Source organism: Homo sapiens, chromosome 15 (assembly GCF_000001405.40).
Source record: "Homo sapiens chromosome 15, GRCh38.p14 Primary Assembly".
Taxonomy (NCBI): Eukaryota; Metazoa; Chordata; class Mammalia; order Primates; family Hominidae; genus Homo; species Homo sapiens.
This window is the reverse complement of record NC_000015.10, coordinates 82,032,656-82,054,775: the sequence shown is the minus strand read 5'-3', so window position 1 is coordinate 82,054,775 and position 22,120 is coordinate 82,032,656. Positions and strand designations below refer to the sequence as shown.

General features: G+C 47.0%; 1 protein-coding gene across 1 annotated transcript, besides 3 other annotated features; it reads left to right on the top strand.

The window, feature by feature from the left end:
* Window positions 7,509-7,828: a silencer, noted in NCBI's record as "silent region_6745". NCBI's record gives its function as "represses an Ori minimal core promoter by ATAC-STARR-seq in GM12878 lymphoblastoid cells {active_cell/tissue: GM12878}" and the evidence as "EXISTENCE:reporter gene assay evidence [ECO:0000049][PMID:35858748]".
* Window positions 7,509-8,455: an enhancer, noted in NCBI's record as "H3K27ac hESC enhancer chr15:82338662-82339608 (GRCh37/hg19 assembly coordinates)". NCBI's record gives its function as "activates a minimal SCP1, AML or CMV promoter by ChIP-STARR-seq in primed H9 embryonic stem cells {active_cell/tissue: H9 hESC(primed)}" and the evidence as "EXISTENCE:reporter gene assay evidence [ECO:0000049][PMID:30033119]".
* Window positions 8,679-8,978: a silencer, noted in NCBI's record as "silent region_6744". NCBI's record gives its function as "represses an Ori minimal core promoter by ATAC-STARR-seq in GM12878 lymphoblastoid cells {active_cell/tissue: GM12878}" and the evidence as "EXISTENCE:reporter gene assay evidence [ECO:0000049][PMID:35858748]".
* On the top strand, window positions 8,758-12,998 carry MEX3B (mex-3 RNA binding family member B). Its single transcript, NM_032246.6, has 2 exons — window positions 8,758-9,326; window positions 10,163-12,998. The coding sequence occupies exons 1-2, from the start codon at window positions 9,071-9,073 to the stop codon at window positions 11,614-11,616; spliced, it is 1,710 nt and encodes a 569-aa protein (NP_115622.2). The 5' UTR covers window positions 8,758-9,070; the 3' UTR covers window positions 11,617-12,998.
* The last annotated feature ends 9,122 nt before the right edge of the window (window positions 12,999-22,120 follow it).

The window sequence follows — 22,120 nt, the reverse complement described above, 5'->3', positions numbered from 1 at the left end:
CTAAAAAGCCAGTTGTCTCGGCATCATTTTTGGAATAATCTTTCCCCTCATCATTCATTTACATTTCTACCTTTGTCACATAGTTAATACTTTTTTTCAATTTGGGTTTCTTTCTAAACCTGTAAGTCAATTTTAATGATCTAGTTAACTTTTGATGCCAGTATATACCGTTTTAATTCTTGCAGGTGCATAACAGTTAATACAGCAGAGCGCAAGGGCTGCTTAGTTTTCTTGTTTTTCCCTTTTATTTTGGGTGGGTTGGGGAAGGGAACAAGGTCTTGCTCTGTTGCCCAGGCTGGAGTGCAGCAGCGTGATCACAGCTCACCACAGCCTCAACCTCTTGGGCTCAAGCCATCTTCCCACCTCAGCCTCCTGAGTAGCTGTGATTACAGGGGTGCGCCACCATGACCAGCTAATTTTTTTTTTTTTTTTTTGTAAAGACAGTGGTCTTGCTTTGTTGCCTAGGCTGGTCTCGAACTCCTGGGCTCAAACCCACCTCAGCCTCCCAGAGTGCTAGAATTACAAACATGAGCCACTGTGCCTGGCCATTTTTCTTCTTTTTCAAAGTTGATCAATTATGTGAGCATCACCACTAGAATCTGCAAATGTCTCCTGTATCGGCAACGAGGGAGGTACCATAAGCACCCTTCTTTTACAGATGAGGAAACTGAGCACAGAAAGAAGAGACACTTGCTCAAGGTCACAAAAACAAGGCAGGTCCAGGAACAGTGAAACACAGGCAGTCTAGCTGCAGGGACCACGATCATAACCTCTGCAAAGTGGGGCAGATCCAACCTGAGAATCAATCTCCTTCAAGTCGGAGCATTTTCTCCTCATATCTATTATTACTGACTTCTTAGTATTTGTTTTATTTATTTGGTTGTTTAATGATTTCATATGTTTCCCTGTGTTTCGTTATATACTTTCTATTTATAATGCTTCTTAAAGTTTTCTGGTTACAGACTATTTTCTTTCTTTTTTTCTGAGATGTGGAACTTACCATGGTTCATATTTTAAACTCTTTGGCTAGGTTTACTAATAATTGTGCTTACCCGAAAGCATTCTTTAACTGCTATTTCTTTGGTTTTCAAGGTCAGTGACTCTTTATATGGCTGCATACACATTTTAGTACAATGATAACTGGATAATTTTAATAAAGTTGTATAAGATATAGTTTACGAACATAAAAATGATTCTATTATTAGCTAAAATTTCAGCAGCACTGTTGACATAATTTTTATTGTTTTAATTAAATTGCATGGAAAAGAAATAATTTTATCATAAGAATAAAGAGGATGATAGTTCAAAGTTATTTGTGAGAATATCGTGGCTGTATTGCATTAGCATCTTGACTTTTAAGGTGATGTTTAATAGAGACACAACAATTCTTTAGGTCGTAAAGGCAATTCTTGCTGTTTTAAAAAAATGTTATGACAACAGGTGTGATCACATAAAGTATTAGTAAAGATGAAACAATTTTAAATATTTTCCACTCTATATTCTACTGCTTTATAAGAAGGCTGACAAGAAAACCCTCATTTCACTAGATCATATCTACATCTCACTGGCAGGAAAGAAGGGCCCATATGAGTTACTTACCTAAGTAGGAACTATTATTCCTGTTTTACAGATGAGAAAACCAAAGCTCAGAGGCTAAGTGACTAGTTGAATGTCAGCAGACCAATTGAAGAAAACTCAAAATGTCACCACTCACCAAATTCACCTGTCTATCCAGCCAGTGCACACATCCTTGGCAGATGTCTCCTAATTAAGTGGAGTGTGTGTGTGTTTGTGTGTGTGTGTGTGTGCGCGCGCGCGCGCGTGCGCGCGCAGTGAGGTGGGCCACCCCGCCTGCAGGCAGCTCTAAGTCATAGTTCCGTTAATTATTTATTTTATATGATGATTTTGAGTCCTTTTGTAGTCCTGGCTGTCTTTTTATGAGCACATTTCTATTTGAGAAAGTCAGCAGGAATCTGGATTCTGGAATCACTGAATTCCAATGCTAGCTCCAATTCTTCCTAGAAACGTGATCTTAGAAACGTTAATTTATATAACAGAAATGATAATACATATCTTACAGGTATGGTGTGAGAGTTAAATGAGAAGTTGTCCATGTATTTAGCATTGTGCCTGACTGGTATCATGTGCTAATGCATACTGCTCATTTTATTTTATTTCCATGGTATGGACGTCCTTTTAAGAATATTCGCCCACTGTAGCTGGGCGCGGTGGCTCACGCCTGTAATCCCAGCACTTTGGGAGGCCGAGGCAGGCGGATCACGAGGTCAGGAGATGGAGACCATCCTGGCTAACACAGTGAAACCCCATCTCTACTAAAAAAAAAAAATTACAAAAACTTAGCTGGGCATGGTGGCGGGCACCTGTAGTCCCAGCTACTCGGGAGGCTGAGGCAGGAGAATGGCGTGAACCCGGGAGGCGGAGCTTGCAGTGAGACGAGATCGCGCCACTGCACTCCAGCCTGGGCGACAGAGGGAGACTGTCTCAAAAAAAAAAAAAAAAAAAAGGATATTCGCCCAGTGGAACAACTTTGGCTGCTGGTCCCTCCTCTGTCTCCCCCAAGCAGGGTTATATAGTTCGTTGAGACATTCCCTTCACCAAAAGGCATTCCTCAGCTCAGGGAAAGGAAAGTGGAGAGGAATGGTGAGTGAGACCGTCTTTAAATATCCTGAACTACTGCCCCCTTCCTTATTGTCTACTATCTACATTTGGGGAGTGATTCTCTTAGCAACCTCTCAGGTTTGATATCAGCAATACTGACTCATGATACTACCCCAAAGCCAAAGCATGAAACATGGAAGGTGTTCACTAGGGACAATACCAGATTTCCTTAAATCACAAAGCAACAGAGCACATCACACTGGATGTCTCACTCTGGCTTCCTGCCCGGCTCCATATCAACGGGCAATTGACGTTGGGGGGAGCCATTTCCTACTCTGGCCTTCAGCTTGCGGTCAGCTGAGTGTGTTGGACCACACACTCTCTAGCATCCTGCGATTCTAACCTTCTATGGATTTCATCAGTTTTATAGATATGAGTTCAGCCTACGACTTTGGGAAACAAAGGATTCAACTGTAAAAAACATTTGAATTCCACTGATCTATTTTATCTCTGCTCAGGAAGAAAAAATGGCACCTTCTTCCTGAAGTTTGTGTTTCCGGTCTCCTTGATTTCTGAGAGATTTTAAAATTACTTTCTATTTTTCTTACTCTGTTCTGATATTGCAAAATGGTTATTACCAATTATTAACTAAGTGATGTTTAATTTTAGAAGTCAAGCTACTTGTAAGGGCCCATATAAATGTGTGCTAGGATTAGCTTTAGATTTGTTTTCTGCTTCTATTTACAGCAAGGACAGGACTGGGGAGTGGTTTTATTTTATTAAGCTTTTTAGCATGATTTAATTTTTAAAACTCAGGACGTATTACTTTAAAAATTAATCGAATAAAGATGTATGTTCATAACTTGAACCACACAGAAAAGTAAAATACAAATAAAATTGTGATCTCATTACTTAAAGAATAACCATTGTTGGCCATGTGCGGTGGCTCACGCCTGTAATCTCAGCACTTTGGGAGGCCAAGGCGGGCGCATCACTTGAGGTCAGGAGTTCAAGACCAGCCTGGCCAACGTGGTGCAACCTCATCTCTACTAAAATACAAAAAAAATTAGCTGGGCATGGTGGCGTGTGCCTGCAATCCCAGCTACTTGGGAGGCTGAGCCAGGAGAATTGCTTAAACCCGGGAGGCCGAGGTTGCAGTGAGCAGAGATTGCGCCACTGCACTCCAGCCTGGGCGACAGAGCAAGACTCCATCACAAGGAAAAGAAAACAAGCATTGTTAAAATTTTGATGCAATTCCTTGTAGCCTACTCATTCACTGTTTCTAATGCTTACTAAGTGTTTAGTAACACATACATACACACTGCACACACACACATTGTCTCCTTCTTCACTCAACATAAGGATAGCATTTCCTATATTATTAAAATATTTTTAAAAATGTGTGTGTGTTACATGTGTTATATGTCACACACACTTTTAACCACACAAAGACACAGGAGAACATCAAAAATCAAGATGCTTTCACGTCCCCTCACACATGTGATCCTTATAATCCTGTGTGAGAAGCAGGACTGGAAATATTTCCAACTTCCAGCTGAAAATGCATAGCTCAGAGACAGGAAGGAACTTAACGTTGGTTAAGATCACAGGCTCGGGGTACCACATACCAGCTGTGTGACCCTGGGCACAATAATGGATCTAAGATTTGTGGGGCGCGAAGCCTGTATCATTTTAGGGGTTCTCCTTAAAGAAAATAATAAAACATTTACCTGTGAAAATTTTAGTGATTTCATGTGATCTTGTAAGTATATTGCTAGGACCTCTTCCAGGGCCTTGGAAGGGTCTGTGTTAAGTGAGGAGCCCTGTAGCTTCATTTCATCTGCTTGGAGGCAAATCTGCCTTTATTTGGGTAAGTGACTTATTTTCATCTGTAAAGTGGGGATAATAAAAGTGCTTGCCTCTGAGTAGTTAGAAAGATTAAACAAGATACTGTATTGTAAAGCATTTTGTAAACTTCCTGGCACATTGGCACATAATAAGTGCTTAATAAGGGTCACCTGTGATTACTAATTTTATTCAAAATCATGTCATTGTGGCTGGTGTCATTTGAGCTGCTTCCCAGAGACTGAGCGATTCCTGTACATACCTAAAGTTACACCTTCAAGATGCTGCAGCTTGGCTCACTCACTCATTTAATAAGCATTTAGGAGTTCCTGCTAGATGCTATGCACTGTGCTAGGCTCCAGTCTCAATTCATTCTCACACCACATTCACTGGAAGCACAACTCAGGTATCCCCTCCTCTGGGAAGCCCTTCTAGGACCCTAAGCCGACTCACTACTATCTGGGCACTTATCTCTCTGTGTGACTGGGTTTGGACATCACTAGTATTCAAGGAAAAGACATTATCCTGCCCCTCTGCCACCTTTGTTCATTTCAGTTCAGTATAATCGATACTTCTCTCTGTGCCTATAATACAGTATGGAGGTGCTCAATAATCTTAAATGAGTTGACTGAGCATGTGTTTGTTTTCACAGGAAGATTTCCGTTTCTTTTGCAAGCTATTTAATTTGCAAAAGTAAGCAAGATGTGCACAAAATAGTTTTGAGACATCTGGAAACAAAACAAGGTTGCCTCATCATTAATCTTGTTTTTGTGTGATAACTTTACTTTTTCTCATTTTATGACAACTGAAATTCTCTATTATACTGCCAGACCTCATTCTGCAAGCTTCTCTCCTGTGCTAATAAAAAATATTATGGCCACATCGAGAAGTCCTTAGGGAATGTGTTCTGCATCAGGAAAAGTAATTAAGCTCTGGGGTCCTAAAGGAGCCTGGGAAAGTCTATCCAGAAACTATGGGGTTAGGATGTATTATCTATTGAAAAACAGAACCGGACTTTGCAAGTTTTACAATATCTTGGCTTATTAAAGCCACTAACTGAGAATTAAAATTTCTGGATTGTTACTTTTACAACAGCAGTCAAGTGTCGGAAAATATCCTGACCAGTCAGTAAGGTATACAAATAGAGAAGGCAAGGAGTAGCTGTGAGTAAAGCGCCAACTACATTTGCTGAGTACCTGGGAATTTACGAGTTAGCTTTTGCTATCATTATCCGTCTCGCTAAAGCAACCCTATGAGGTAGGTGGGAAGCTGGATGCCGTCCTCTTTTGACAGCCAACACTGAAGAACAGCTGGGGCTGGAAACTAGATCTGTCAGACATAGTAACTGCTTCTATCACTCTCACCACCCTCCCATGCTCTTGAGAGTGCCTTCGCTTTTGTGGGTGTCTTCAGAAAAGCATGCGGATCTCTGTATAGGTTTTACTCAAGTGTTCCTCTCTGTGGAGGGTGACCTGGGCTACATGAACATGGGCACCTCAGGATCGGCAGCTTTCCATGAATTCCTATGGTAAGGGGTTCAGCTTATCCTTCATGTGGGTGAAGATGTATGATTTCATTGAACATTGGCAGTTACAGCCAAGTACAAGTCCTGCCTTCAGGATCCAGCAGGGAAGAATGACATTAAACATGTCACCTTGGAGAAATGTTGCATTCACCTTCCGGGTAATGACCCAGCCACCCAGGGACTCCTCTGAAATATCCAATCCTCTAAGTTTAAACACGTTTCAGAATTAATCCATCTGAATTCTTATCGCTGTAGATGCAAGGAGAAGGAGTTATGGCAGGTCTGAAACTATTAGCGGCCAAGCTCCCTAGCAGAAGCAACCTCTCCCTACACCCCATTATCCGTGCACAGCTCCTTATCAGCGGAGGAACAACTTTACTGTCACCATATTTTCTACTTGGAAAAAAAAAAGAAACCTCAGCAGGCCCAATCCGAAGGCTATGAAATTTCAAAGAAACAGAGCTAAGAGGCGAGAAACTAGCCCTTTGTGTTAAAAAGATGGAAATGCTCCAAGCGCCTTTCCAGTCTGCTTTCTGTTTACAGGCCTTGCGTGAGCGCGGGAGGCTGGGCCTCATCTCTGGCTCTCCCCAGCCAGGACCCCTTACTCAAAACCCTCCATCTCGGCAAGAACCCTCATTCCCAAGTTAGTTGGATTCCAAGTCCATAAACCGGGTCAAAAGAATACAGTAATTTCCTACTGGAGCTCTAAGTGGTGGTTTTCACGGAGGACTCGGCACCATCCTCCCACCTGCCTCCTCCCATCGAACATTCCTTTTTAAGAAAAACACACACCAGGCTCCGGGAAGCTGACGTAAACATCCTGAGGAAATAACCACTGTAAGTGGCTTCTAAACCCATTTCCCCAAGGAAATAATCAGCACCTCTTTCCCAAGACAGCTCCAGGTAAGCAAGCGGTGAAGGGAGCTGCACCACCGCGTTCTCAAAAGTAAAGGCGCTTGCGGAACTGTCTACTGATTTGTAAGCGCGCGCCCATCCACTGTCGCATTTAATCTTCCGAACGACCCACGAGGTGGTAAAGGCGGGGATTATTTTCTTCATTTTACGGGTGAGAAACCGAGGCCCACAGCGCTCGTTCCTGTAGCCGGGGTCAGGCAGGGCACACCTAGGGGAGCCTCTGCCTTCGAGCCCCGGGACCGCCCCGCGGCACCACGAGATCTCCCCAGTCAGCCCGTGTGCGGCTGCGGCCGCATGGCCTCATTGTTTTGGGAAGACGTCCCTCTGTGAGGATCTTGGGCGACTCTATGAACCGCGGGCCCAGCCGCTCTGCGGAACGATCCGCAGCGGGACGCAAAGGGCGCGGCGAGCCCGGCGGCTCCCGGAACAAAGGACAGCAGAGCGCGCGGGGCCCGAAGGGGCGTCCGCCCTAGTGGGCGGCGGAGGGGGATGCGCGCGGAGAGGACCAGCGCGCACCGCCCCGGCCCGCCCCTCAAATCCTCCTTCCTTCTCTCTCGCACTCGGAGACGGTCCCTGGGAGATCCGGGAGGGGGCGCAGCTCGCCGTCCTCGCCGGCAAGTGCCGTCGCAACCTCCCTCTGCCGCCACCCCCACCCCGAGAAGCGCACAAAGAGCGGCCGGGCAGGGAGCGCTCACCTCCCGTCGGGGCGGGGCCGCGGGCGGGGCCGGCGCGCGCTCCGCAGCGCCCGCCTTAAAGGGCCCGCCCGCTCCTCGCGCGCACTGCGCATGCTCGGCCGCGGGGCACGGAGGGGAGGGATGGGAACAGCGGGCGCGCACGCCCGCGCCGCCCGCTGGCGCTGTGGCCTGCGTCCCCGCGGTGGCGGCGCGGCGCTCGTGCGCGTGTCAGAACCCGCAGGGTCTCGGCCCGGGCGCCGGGCGTGTGCTGGACACTGGTGCCATGCATTCCAGAGGTCGCCAGCGGCCGGGCGGGCCGAGCTCGCGCGGCAGCCAGCTTTTAGCTTTCCCATCCTCAGTTTCAGGGCCAGTTGGGCGAAGTGCTGCCCAAGGAGACAGAAATGCAGGCGCGGGCGCGCGCGCGCGCGGTTGCCAGTGTGGGCGGGCGTGTGCTTTTGTGTCTCGTGCGCTCCCGCGCAGGTGGACAACCCGCGCCGGGAGTCACTCTGCCCGTGCGCCCCAAGACCTGGAGTCCCGTTTTCCGTGTCGGAGGGCTCGGGTCGCCCTTTTGGGCGGACTACAGACTCTTCTCACAGAGGAAGCTTTGGCTCCACGGATGGTTTATTTGGAGCCACTAACGGGACTTCCTGAGGACCGCTCTTTTAGAGCCCGGCTCCAGGCATCAGAGTTGGGCGCGTTTTCTTTTCTCAGTCAGGCGAGGGAGGAGACTTAGGGACAATGATTGTCCTCGGCTGATAGGTACATCCAAGTGTCCCGAGCCTGCCAGTCCCGCATTAGACAACAAAGAGAGGCGTTAGCGGCGGCGGGGGAGGGGCGCGGCCGGGAGGAGGACGGGGCGGGCTGCGGCGAGCGCGGGGGTGGGGGGTGGCGCTCTCTCTCCGCTCGCTCAACCCGCGGCCTCCTCCCGCCCCCGGCCTGGCGCGCGCCAATCGCCTCCCCCAGCGATAGTGTCAGTAGCATTGTGGTGTCAGCTCCCGCCTGTGACGTTGCGCCTCCCTCGTCCCCCTCCGGAGTCGTCTGGCTGCAGAGGCTCAGTCAAGAGGCGGGGAGGAGAGGAGGAAAAAGCGCTGAGTGAGGGCGGGCGGGCGGGCGGGAGGGAGGGAGTGGAGGAGCCGGGGAGGGGCTCCTTAAAGAAACGCTTCTGTCGCTCGCCTGCTCGCTTTTCGCTCGGCATTGCGGCCAGCCAGCCGGGCACTCGGGGGGCACGCGCGGCCACCGCTAGAGCTCTGCCCCCACCCCACCCGCCAGCAGGTCTGGGGTGGGGACCCAGGTGGGGGCTCCTGCAGCCACTGCCCGGTGCGGACCGCACGGAGCGACCCACTCCTCCCAGCACCGAGGAAGAAGCAACGGAGCCCTCAGCAGGCGACCGGCCTCCCCGCCCCTGACCACCCGCTTCCCGGCTGCCTTTGTGGCCGCAGCTTCTCGCCGCCGAGCCGAGGGCCGGCGGGGGCGCGGCGCGCACGGCCGAGCGATGCCCAGCTCGCTGTTCGCAGACCTGGAGCGCAACGGCAGCGGCGGCGGCGGCGGCGGCAGCAGCGGAGGGGGAGAGACCCTGGATGACCAAAGAGCCCTGCAGCTCGCGCTCGACCAGCTCTCCCTGCTGGGGCTGGACAGTGACGAGGGCGCCTCTCTGTACGACAGCGAGCCGCGCAAGAAGAGCGTGAACATGACCGAGTGCGTGCCAGTACCCAGTTCTGAGCATGTCGCCGAGATCGTGGGGCGGCAAGGTAGGTCGAGGAGGGATGGGGAGGTGGGTGGGGGTGGTGTAGGGTCTCAGGCCACTGCCTCGAGGGGAAGGCGTGTTCAGTATCGGGATCCGCGGCGTGGGGTGCCTTGGGGAGAGAGGAAGAGCCGCGCGATGGGCCGGCGCCCCAGACAAAGAAAGTGCAGGCAGGCTGTCTCCCGGAGCCGCGCCGCTGCCCTGGCGGGATGCACTTTCTTCTGCTAAAATCACTGCCTTCTCCCCTAACGCCCCCCAACCAGCCCACCTCCAGAAAGACAATTTAAATGTAAGATGCTTGGGGGAGGGGGCCTTTGATCAGTCCTTTGGGAGGAGGAAGGAGGAGGAGTGAGCATAGGATGGGAGGAGGATTCTGGATTTCTGCAAAGCGGAATGGAGCCCAGAGGAGGAACAATGGGTCCCGGGACTCACACCCCACCCCCTACCCCCAGTCGACCAGCGCTGAGGCATCGCGACTTCAGCTGCCTTCCCCGAGCCCCTTCCCCGTGTCTTCAGAGCTGACGGCGCGCCCAGCTGGATCCCAGCGGCATCTCCCCAGATGACTTTTCTGGGATTCTCGGGTTTGGTTCGGGACGACTGCAGTCACTGGGGGAGGGCCAGGCAGCCAATGGGCTGTTCCTCGAGCGCCTCGCGGGTGGGATCCGCTGCCCAGCCCGTGGCGCGGCCCGAGGTCAGTGAGGGAGACGCCCCCTTTCCGCCCATCTCTTGTCCTGCCGTCTCGCTGTCCTGGACGCGGGCTGTCCCCGGTCCCCGCGGTTACCCCAGGATAATGGGCGTGTCTGTCTCTCTCTCCCACTCCCTCCTCCGCACCCTGGTTCGTAGGTTGTAAAATCAAAGCGCTGCGGGCGAAGACCAATACTTACATCAAGACCCCAGTTCGCGGGGAGGAGCCTGTCTTTGTTGTGACGGGCAGGAAGGAGGATGTGGCCATGGCTCGGAGGGAGATCATCTCTGCTGCCGAGCACTTCTCCATGATCCGCGCCTCCCGGAATAAGAACACGGCACTCAACGGCGCGGTGCCTGGGCCGCCCAACCTGCCCGGGCAGACCACCATCCAAGTGCGGGTACCCTACCGCGTGGTGGGGCTCGTGGTGGGGCCCAAAGGCGCCACAATCAAGCGCATCCAGCAGCAGACGCACACGTACATCGTGACGCCCAGCCGGGATAAGGAGCCGGTGTTCGAGGTGACCGGCATGCCAGAGAACGTGGATCGCGCTCGAGAGGAGATTGAGGCGCACATTGCTCTGCGTACCGGCGGCATCATTGAGCTCACAGACGAGAACGACTTCCACGCCAACGGCACCGATGTGGGCTTCGATCTGCATCATGGGTCCGGCGGGTCCGGCCCAGGCAGCCTCTGGAGCAAGCCCACCCCCAGCATCACGCCCACCCCCGGCCGCAAGCCTTTCTCTAGCTACCGCAACGACAGCTCCAGCTCGCTTGGCAGTGCTTCCACAGACTCTTATTTCGGCGGCGGGACCAGCAGCAGCGCAGCGGCTACCCAGCGCCTGGCGGACTACAGCCCCCCTAGCCCCGCCCTGAGCTTTGCGCACAACGGAAACAATAACAATAACGGCAATGGGTACACCTACACAGCGGGGGGAGAAGCCTCAGTGCCATCCCCCGACGGCTGCCCCGAGCTGCAGCCCACTTTTGACCCGGCTCCCGCTCCCCCACCTGGGGCACCACTTATCTGGGCCCAGTTCGAGCGGTCCCCGGGAGGCGGACCTGCAGCTCCGGTATCTTCTTCCTGCTCTTCTTCTGCATCTTCGTCTGCTTCTTCCTCCTCCGTGGTCTTCCCCGGGGGTGGCGCCAGTGCGCCCTCCAACGCCAACCTGGGGCTATTGGTGCACCGCCGGCTGCACCCTGGCACCAGCTGCCCGCGCCTGTCTCCACCCTTGCACATGGCCCCGGGGGCGGGAGAGCACCACCTGGCTCGCCGGGTGCGCAGCGACCCGGGTGGAGGAGGCCTGGCCTACGCCGCTTATGCCAACGGGCTGGGGGCACAGCTGCCTGGCTTGCAGCCGTCGGACACGTCGGGCTCCTCCTCTTCGTCCAGCTCCTCCTCCAGCTCTTCATCCTCTTCCTCCGGGCTTCGGCGTAAAGGCAGCCGCGACTGCTCCGTGTGCTTCGAGAGCGAAGTGATTGCCGCGCTGGTGCCCTGTGGCCACAACCTCTTCTGCATGGAGTGCGCCAATCGCATCTGTGAGAAGAGCGAGCCCGAGTGCCCGGTCTGCCACACCGCGGTCACTCAGGCCATCCGCATCTTTTCTTAAAGGCAGCGGGCGCTGCTAGTGCGCACCGTGCTGGGGGAAGGGGGAACCCCTCCCCACCCTCTTTCCCCAGCGCTCGCCTGCCTCCCTGGGTGCCCCCCCTCTCCCTTCTCCTTCCCGGCCCCACCAACACTCTGAGATCCGAGAGGAGCTTGGAAAGCTGTAGTATCCGCTCATTTTTAAAATTTAATTTTTAAGTAAAGGAATTTGCCAGGATATCTGCATCAAGAGTACTGTAGCCTGGGAAACCTGAACACCTGAAATGCATGCTCTATAAATAATAGGAACGGCGACATTCTAGTAATGATAGTTTTTACACTGTACTTAATAGGAAGCTTCCAAAAGAAGAAAACCCCACAAGTTTTCCATTTTCTTAAAGTAGGAAAAAATGAACAGTAATAATTATGATGAAGATGATAGTAGTGCTATGGGATGTGTGGACTGTTTAGTGTGTTCCCCTTTGTGGGTGGGTTCCTATGATACTTATTATAGAACACAGTGGATCCTTTTTGAATGTTCGTGGAAGGGCCAGGAGTTCCTGTGAAACCAGGATACTGCAGCTTTATTAAAGTTAAAGAAACTGTAACATATCTCTTATATATTAAAAACGTTTAAAAGTTTTAAAGAGAAATTGCATTAATACAGATTGAAGTATTTTATTCTTTTTTGACTTGAAAAATTATATTTCATATTGCAAAGATGTTTACAAGTATTTTAATTTAAGTTCAGTGAACTTTTTTGTAGCTGGGTTAAATCTTTTTATTTTAGTATGGCCTTATGGCAAAGAACACTGTATTATTTTAATAATCACACAATTGTGACGGAATTACAACCATAAAATGTGTAATGTTTTGAACAGTATTCTGTTGGGATGGAGATTTTATAGGTTCAGACAAATCTTCTAGATCTGCTTCACCCAGCATATTTTCTATTCAGTGATATAAAGCATATTTTATTCTATATTATTACAAAAACGGAAATGTATAAACATGTCAAAAAGAACTGTTGATGCTTTCTAACATTTGTATAAATAGAATTCAGTGCAAGTTACAAAAATTCTGTTGCACCACTCTAGTTTTAGTATTTCTATTTTAATACATTTGTTTACCACTTGTTTATGTATATGTAGGTGATGTTACTTGAGCTTAAATGTACTTTACTGAGCAAAGTTTAAAAAACAAAGTATATTTTATTTTATGATAAAGGGCCTTTAACCTCATGGTCAAATACTAATATTATATTTGCTGAGACAAGATTTGAAATTGTATCAAGAGTTTTATTTTTCTGACATTTAAAGTTCTACATAATAAAGGTAAAACTTAAGTAATGGTGCTACTTCATTTTTTAAGTATTTCTATATAAATAAAATATTGAAGAAAATCTTATCTTGTGTGGTGACTTTTTTTTTAAGCCTCTTGGAATCTTAACTGTAAGGGATCACTTTAAATTGACAAGTTGAAATATGGAATTCCCAGGTACATTTTGTATATTATGAATAGAATGGATTTTCAAAACAGGCCAGGGTTGTGTCTGGTTGGATGGGTGGCCTTGGGTAATGGTATTTTTTCTAAAAATTGCAGGTATCTACTGAATTAGGGCCTCCATTAGACACACAAGTCACAGTGCCTAGGGCGCATGATACTTTTAGGGGTTCAGGAAAGTGTTTAATTTATTTTAAAAATTAGAAAAAAAGGAAATTAACATATTCAAAAACTGTTTTAGTTTTCAGCCCCACAAACCATTTCATTTTGCCTGAAACATTAAGAAAAATATTGAAATTAAAGATATCAAAAATAAATATTAATATGGATTTTATTAGTGAGGAAGGCAAAAAGGGCCAGGGAATGTCATCATTCCACCTGGCATGGGCCCCTGAGAGGATAGTGGGTCTTAAGGCCCTATGCCTGCTCTGTGGCAGGGAGAAGTTGGTTTCAGCTCTGTTGCGAGTTTCCACTGAAGGTCACTCCCTTGGGGAAGCCGAAGAAGGAAGAAGGGATGACAGTTTCTGCTTGCAGAGAACCTTCCTGGATTTGAGCACTGGTCTTAATAGGCTTCTGCTTGTAGGGCAGACTAATTGGTGTTGACAGGCTGCCGGTGTCAAGTGTTTGTTGTCCTTTGAGGGAAGTTTTTGTTTGCTTTTGGCAGGCTCCACCTGCTCCCTGGCTGTGGGGCTTTGTCAAGGGGAGGAGCCACGTGCTGTCACTTAACCTGAACTCAGTCTTCTAGAGAGTATTTAGGAATGACCAGAGCATGCCACTGAATTTCCAGCAAACTTCCTGGCTGAGTTGCCCCTGGAGAACAGTATCTGACTGGAGTATGGCAGGCATTTATTTTCATCTCAGCAGGTGAATCTGAAGAGTAGATTAGTATAAATTGATCTTGGTAGTCCTTCTTCCTTTTGTGTTAATTTTTACCTGTTTGATAATTTAGTCACTGCCTACATAGCTCCTGATTCAGTTGGTTTACACGATGTGTGTGAAGGCAGTAGACAGGTCTTTGGGGTGGGAGGAGTAAAAGGAGTGGCTCTGCTTGGAAAATTTCTGGCATCATCTTCAGCTCTGGAAAGTTCCCAGGCAGTGTTTACCCCCTTCGCTTCTCTCTCAAGGACTGGAGGTTAGCTGAGGCCTGGCAAGGGGAAATGTCACCATGTCCAAGTCCCCCTTTCCTTCAGCTGTCTGGAAATGCCTAGAACAGAACCAAGATTCTTTTTGCATGTAACTTTCTTTAGTCATGTAACTTTGCTTTTCTGCTTTAGCAGAATAATTACAGACAATGCAAGGAAAAAATAAAAAAGCCTTGATTGGTTGATATCTAATGGGCCCTTACTCATTCATATATTTTTGTGGTTCATGTGCCACTTTGGGAACTGAAAAAAGATCAGATGTTAAGGCTGCCAACATACTTTAGGATGGCCTGTATTTTTTTTTCTTTATAGTGAGAGGTTCCCTTTGTTGACATAAAGTTTGGGGCTATATTATTAATAAAATTAGGCTTCTTGAGAGGAGAGTCTGCTCTCTAACATGGGTCTCCCGTGCTAAGCCCAGGTCTCTGTTACCAGCAGCGGATGTGGGCACATGCTAATATTAGATGGCAGTCACTTTTGGTTTGAGTTAAGCCTTTTGTCCCATCCTCCAGCTTCCCCAGGTGACTTCCGTGGACATGACCACTGGCTGTGGAGGTGACAGTCCTCTGGCCAGAAAGATGAGCGGTGCCGCATTCATGTCCTCCAGCTACGAGCAGCTTCCTTTTCTACTTCTCCACCCCTCTGAAACGTGTCTTTCTGCAGCAACAAAATACCAGCTAACGGACACCTTTTCCCCTAATTACTGTTCCATGTTTTATTTCTTTAGGTAGAATAGCTCTCAGTGGAGGTAGGGGAGGGGATGATTTTGCACCCCTCCATTTTGGCAATCTCTGGAGACATTTTTGCTTATGACAAAAATGTGTAATTGTACTGACATTTAGTGGGTAGAGGCTAGGGATACCGCTAAACATCCTACATTGCACAGGACAGCCCCCACACACGGAATTATCCAGCTCAGGGATGAGAAGCCCTGATGTAGACGAAGCAAATATATCTTCTCTTCCCTTCATTCATTGCCTTGAAGTTGGTGGACTTCTTCCAGCATTTACGTGCCTAAAGGCGTTCTAGGATTACCCACGACCCAGTGTAGCTCTATATCAGGAACATTGTGGGCAAGGTCAAGGCTGATGTCTGAGCATAGGAGGTCACAACAAAGGGACTCTTTTTATTCACCAGAGTGGTAGATTGTACCCAATGAATGATAATAATGATTACATGGAATGTTCAAAGCACTCTCATTTCCATTCTCTCCTGTGAGCCTTTCTGCAACCATGAGGCAGGCAGCCCTGAGATTTTACTGTGCCTATTTGCAGTAAAACAAATATTACTCAAAACACAGTCCCAGCCCCCTTACCCAGAATCAAACCTCCGTTTCCAGATCTAGCCGGCCTCTTTCTGTTTTGTTCGGTTCCCTGTAACTATGAGATAAAATGTACGGAGAAATTTCCAAATGGGTCTGTGCTAGCATCTCTTCCCCTTTCCCTATTTCATGGGTACTCCTTATACTACCAAAATGGGCTCTTGGGAAAAGTTCTGATATCTTCAGTGAATTACAGTCACTAAGTGATGCAGAGCTCTTATCTCTTAAGTCTTATCTTTCTAAGAAATATGAACAAATTTGGCCGGGCGAGGTGGCTCACGCCTGTAATCCCAGCACTTTGGGAGGCCGAGGCGGGCGGATCACGAGGTCAGGAGATTGAGACCATCCTGGCTAACACGGTGAAACCCCGTCTCTACTAAAAATACAAAAAATTAACTGGGCGTGGTGGCGGGCGCCTGTAGTCCCAGCTACTCGGGAGGCTGAGGCAGGATAATGGCGTGAACTCGAGAGGCAGAGCTTGCAGTGAGCCGGGATCGCGCCACTGGACTCCAGCCTGGGGGACGGAGCAAGACTCTGTCTCAAACAAACAAACAAAATATGAACAAAGTCTTCTCTCAAGTGGGTTTTGAGCCTGCTGGCCAATGCAATGGCTGGGAGTAGTAGTCCAGACGCTTTGTTGGAGCAAGGTAACTCGGGAAGGAAGGGAATTTGCATTGGGCACATTCACTCTTTTTCGCCATAAAAGAGTAATTCCCTCCCTGGCTAGGGAACAAGGGCCCTTCTAACACTCAACACTGCCTCCCCTTTGGCTTCCTCCCTTCCCTGACCTAGTCAAACCTGACCTTGCCCACAAGCGATGCTTAAAGTGCTAAAGGATCTCTTCCCCAAGTGTTAAGACCAACCAGCTTTCCAGGAAGGGAGAGTGGGAAGAGTTAAGCATCACTTACATTGGCTCAGGGAAGGTCAGTGATAATTTCTATAGTTTACTGAGCCTCTCATTCTGACCCAGGCACTCTACATTGGTCCAACCCTATGGGGTAGGTCTGAGTAAACCCATTTCAGAGACAAGGAAACTTAGGTAGAAGTTAAATTACCTACCTAAGGCCACACAGTCAGTAAGTGTTGGACTTAGGACTCCAACCTTGGGTCTACCTAAATCCAATGTTTCTATCTTTACCACTTCAGAAAAAAATGGCTTTTATAGGAGGTATTTTGAGAAAAAGCAAGCACTCATTTGTCATAAAATAGTCAACTAAGAGAATGATGTTCCTTTTAGTAATACGTGTAACTGACTTGAAAAATAGAGCCCGGCGGAGTTGCCGTGGTGCGGCCAGGCCACGTGAGGAGAACCGAGAACATGAATAGCACCTTATGGGCACAGGGCATTTCTTTGACATTAATTCTAAATAAAGCCTTGACTGTCTTGTGAACAATCAAATATTATTCTGTAATGTATTCTTTTCAGGTGGACAAAGAAAAATTACCATTGGATGAGAAGAAAATGAATACAGAATTCTCTGTTTTAAAAAAAGCTCAATAAAAATGTCACATGAAGTAATTTAGACAGTGACTAAAAGATGCCAGAACCCTGACTGAAAAGTGAAACGTAGTCAATCGTATGGTCTCCCAAATGCCAAGGTCTTTGTTTGACTGATTTTTTAATTTTATTTTATTGACTTAATTTTTCAGGGCATGTATTAGAATTGCAGGATCTGGGCACGGTCTAAAAATGGCATTATGGGTGCTACCCACCCCATGAGTCTTTAGCGCTGGTTCCAACTGTAGCACATGTTTTTCATGTTTTTATGGAAGGTGTGGGTGAAACAAATGGCAAATTTGTGACTCAGTTTACTCATCTGTGCAAAGTGAGATGGTGTCCTTACTTCTGGAGTTATCAGACATGTTCAGCCCCTTACCTGATACCTAATACCCCTTCCACAGTGATATCTTCCAGGCCCTTTCACAATTGCTTAACTGTCTTTTCTCCCTCTAGGCTGAGAATGTATTCAGAGCAGGGGTCTTATCCCCCATCTCTGTGCCTCCAACACCATCCAACACAGAGCCTGGTTCACAGCGATGTTCAGTGCATACTTAGCAAATCAGTGAAAGGGGTGTTTTGCTTCAAATAACCTACATGCCCATCGATAGGGGACTTGCTTGTGAAATTATGTAGCTTCTGCACATGGAATTCTAGCTGTACTAGTAAATGAGGGGATCACTTTGATATCCGTAAAGGCAAAATGCAAAGGATATAATTTCTGTAAAAAAAAGTTTTATTTGTATAGAAAAGTTCTAGAGGACTGTCATGGTGCACAATCTTTAAGACGGCCCCCAATGATCCCTACCTCCTTGTGTGACCCTCTCCCCTTGAGTATGGTTTGGACTTTGTGACTTGCTTCTAATGACCGAATATGGCAGAAGTGAGAGGATGTCACTTTTGAGACTAGGTTATAAAAATACTGTGGCTTCTGTCTTGGTGTGATCTCTCTCTTTCCCTCTGTCTTTCTCTCTCATCACTGACTCTGGATGGAGGCAGTCGTGTGGAGAAATCTATGCGGTGAGAAACTGAAGAGGGCCCCTGCCTCTGTCCACGAGTACTTGAGGCTTTCAGTCCAATAGACCATGAGGAACTGAGACCTGCCAACAACCACAGGAATGAACCTAAAGCAGATCCTCCCCAAGACGAATCTTCAGATGAGACTGCCGCCCTTATCAACATCTTGATTGAACCTAATAAGAGATCTTAAGTCAGACGCACCTGGCTAAGCCACACCCTGATTCCTGATCCATAAAAGCTGTGAGTTAATAGATGCTTATGTTGTTGTTTTTGTTGTTGTTGTTTGTTTGTTTGTTTTTCAGACGGAGTCTCACTCTGTTGCCCAGGTTGGAGTGCAGTGGGGTGATCTCGGCTCACTGCAAGCTCCACCTCCCGGGTTCATGCCATTCTCCTGCCTCAGCCTCACGAGTAGCTGGGAGTACAGGCACCTGCCACCACGCCCTGCTAATTTTTTGTATTTTTAGTAGAGGTGGAGTTTCACCATGTTAGCCAGGATGGTCTTGATCTTCTGACCTCGTGATCCGCCCGTCTCGGCCTCCTAAAGTGCTGGGATTACAGGCGTGAGCCACCACACCCGGCCAGATGCTTATTGTTTTAAGCCCTAAATTTTAGGGTAATTTGTTGTGCAGAAATAGAAAACTCATACAGATGTGGAATTGACTGTGAAACAGTGGTCATCTTTAGAGAATAAGACTAGTATTTGGGGGGTGATGACAGAAAACCAGCTCTGACACTTACTAACTGTGTAACTTGGGAAAGTTACTAAATTTCTCTGTGCCTCAGTTTGATCATCTATGAAATGCAGATAATAATAGTAACTTACCTCAAAGAGTTTTTCTGAGGAGCATTTACCATATGCATGGCATGTGATAAGTGCTATCTGTCTATGTCTCTCAATCCAGACCTATGCTATTATTACTGTCTTTTCATTTTATATTCTCTTGACCTTTGGATTTTTTTTAACCTTGTGATTATATTACATTCATAGGTTAGAAAGAATTTTAAAAATTTAAAGCAAGATGCATGAATGGTGTTAGTCAATTTGGCCTGGGCCAAATCTTCTCCATCAGAGCATTTTGTTGGATGCATATCTTTAAAAGTGATAAAATACTATTATTTTATTTTGTATAGGAGATATTATGCTTTTGAAAATCCTTTCATATAAATTGTCTCACAGCAACCCCATGAGGTAGTGGATAATATGGATAGTACTATTATCCTAATTTTATAGCCGAAGAAACTGAGCTTAAATGCTAAAGTAGAGACTAGAGATTTCTGGAAACCAAGATCTTTCTAGAACATTCCCTGTGCAGATATACAGAAAACTTCTGCTTTTATGGAATAGCCAGAAGTGATTTTAATGAGTTATGAATAAGTTTAATATGCTGTTTATTGATAATATGCAAGCCTACCACCCATGGATGTAGGCTTTAAAACACACTTCTCATTAAATCCATGATGGCATTACCTTACTAGCCCTTTGATGACTCAGAAGGCACTTCAGGGTCCTCATCATGAACATCAGCGACTGTACTGCAAGAACACTATCACTTAAAACCTCTTGATAAACGGGACTAGGGTATTTGGGGTTACTTATCCTAGTCACATTTTTATGGTGTATATCCTAGATGAATTAATTCCTCCACACCTCCTATTCAGGGGGCCCTGTTGTACAGTTAACTCTGCCTCTAACTTCTCTGCTGTGAGACTTTGAGAAAATCGCTTTATATCTTTTAAACCTAGTTTTCTTATTTGGAAAATTAGAAGGATGAGCTATTTTATTGCTTTGTAAACTAGTCTTGTGAGATGCCTACATGAGAGTAACCTAGAGAAGATGTATGAAATACAAATTTCTGGGTTCACCTCTTGAAATTCGTATTCAATAATTTTGGGATGAGATCTGGAAACCAACAGTTTAAAAAGTTCCTTATATCTGTCAATAGGGGATGATGAGTTAAAGACGTAAATATATACTTTAGATGACTTGGCAAAATGCTGTTAAAAAGAATGATGCAGTGTAATTTGTATTGATATTGCACAATCTTCAATATGCATTAAAAAATTTTCCCCTAATTCCTGCACTGATCAACAATATGTATTATTAAAAAGAAAAAATTGGCCAGGCATGGTGGCTCACGCCTGTAATCCCAGCACTTTGGGAGGCTGAGACGGGCAGATCACGAGGTCAAGAGATGGAGACCATCCTGGCTAACATGGTGAAACCCCGTCTTTACTTAAAAAAAAAAAAAAAAATTAGCCGGGTGTGTCGGCGGGTGCCTGTAGTCTCAGCTACTCGGGAGGCTGAGGCAGGAGAATGGCATGAACCTGGGAGGCGGAGCTTGCAGTGAGCCGAGTGCCACTGCACTCCAGCCTGGATGACAGAGCGAGACTCTGTCTCAAAATAAATAAATAAATAAATAAATAAATAAATAAATAAATAGGAAAAAATTTAGGTTCATTACAGGTGTATGGCATGCTTCATTTGTATTAAAATTGTAGATGAAGACCTACCTACAAGTATAATCATATACATAGAATATATCTCAGGGAGGGAGACTGCGGCTTCAGGGATCAGGAGCTGGAGAGACTTCCGTTTCCCTGCATATCTTTTTATACTGCTTGGATCCTTTTTTTTTTTTAAAGTATGTATTGCCTATTCAAAAACATTTTTCTTTTGTTGGTAATGATGTGTCAATGTTGGTTATTGATTGTAATGCCTGCACCCTAATGTGGGTTGTTGATGGTAGAGAGGCTGCCTGTGTGTATGGGGTAGGGCAATGTGAGAACTCTCTGTACTTTCCGGTTAATTTTGCTGTAAGCCTAAAACTGCTCTAAAAAGTAAAGCTGGCCGGGCGCGGTAGCTCGTGCCTGTAATCCCAGCACTTTGGGAGGCCGAGGAGGGCGGATCATCCTGGCTAACACAGTGAAATCCCATCTCTACTAAAAATACAGAAAATTAGCTGGGCGTGGTGGCGGGCGCCTGTAGTCTCAGCAACTCGGGAGGCTGAGCCAGGAGAATCGCTTGAACCTGGGAGGCAGAGGTTGCAGGGAGGCAGAGGTTGCGGTGAGCCGAGATTGCGCCACTGCATCCAGCCTGGGCAACAAAGCGAGACTCTGTCTCAAAAAAAAAAAAAAAAAAAAAAAGGAAAGTCTATTAATTAAAAAAATTTTTAAGTGCTAGGCATGATAAACCCATATATAAATAAATGTATGGCTAGAGAGCTAGATAGAATGACCGATAAAGTAAAAGCTCCTCAGGGGATTCTGCTGTGAAGCTGAGTTTGGGAACCATGAGACTAGGTGAGCTCTAGGGTCTCTTCCAGTGAAGATTTTGGGTGAGCTGAAGAGTAGAAAATAAGTTTGGAAAAGCAAGTCAGAGGCAGATTGTAGAGAGTCTGGGAGGCTCAACTGAGAGTTTTGGGGTGTGTCTTGCAGGCATTGGAGAACACTGTTTTATATTGTTTTCTGGTACCTGTGAGCTGGATGGGCTGGGAAAGTGCCAGGAGGCCAGTGAGGAGCGAAGGCCTTGATCCAGGAGGTGGCTGGAGAGGCGAGAGGCAGAAGAGTGTCTGGGATGGTCAGAAGAGAAGAGGAGAGAGTTTTAAGGACCTCGAAAAACTATTAGGTTGAATCATGTGAAATTGCTGATACCAGACCATTTTTACCTTCAGTAATGGCAATTTCATACGGTTCAACCCAATTAAATTGACAATGTTAGGTGGCAGGGGCCATATCTGGGAGCGAAGACGGACAAGGAGATTTGCGGATTTAGAACCTTGGTGGGTTGGGCACTATTATTAAAAATAGAAGAATGAGGATGTTAGAAGCGATAACTAAATGTAGTGTTAGACCTAGCTGGGAGTCATAGAGCAAATGCTTTTACTTACGATTTCCTGAATACATCTAGTGTTTTTATATATTTGTGCCTTTGCTTGAAACATTTCCTCTGCCTAGGAAATGTGTTGATTTAAAAAAAAAGTAAAGATCCCTGTGGAGGACTAGTGAGATGTGGGGGCGGCGGGGTGGGGGACACAGCAAAAAAAGC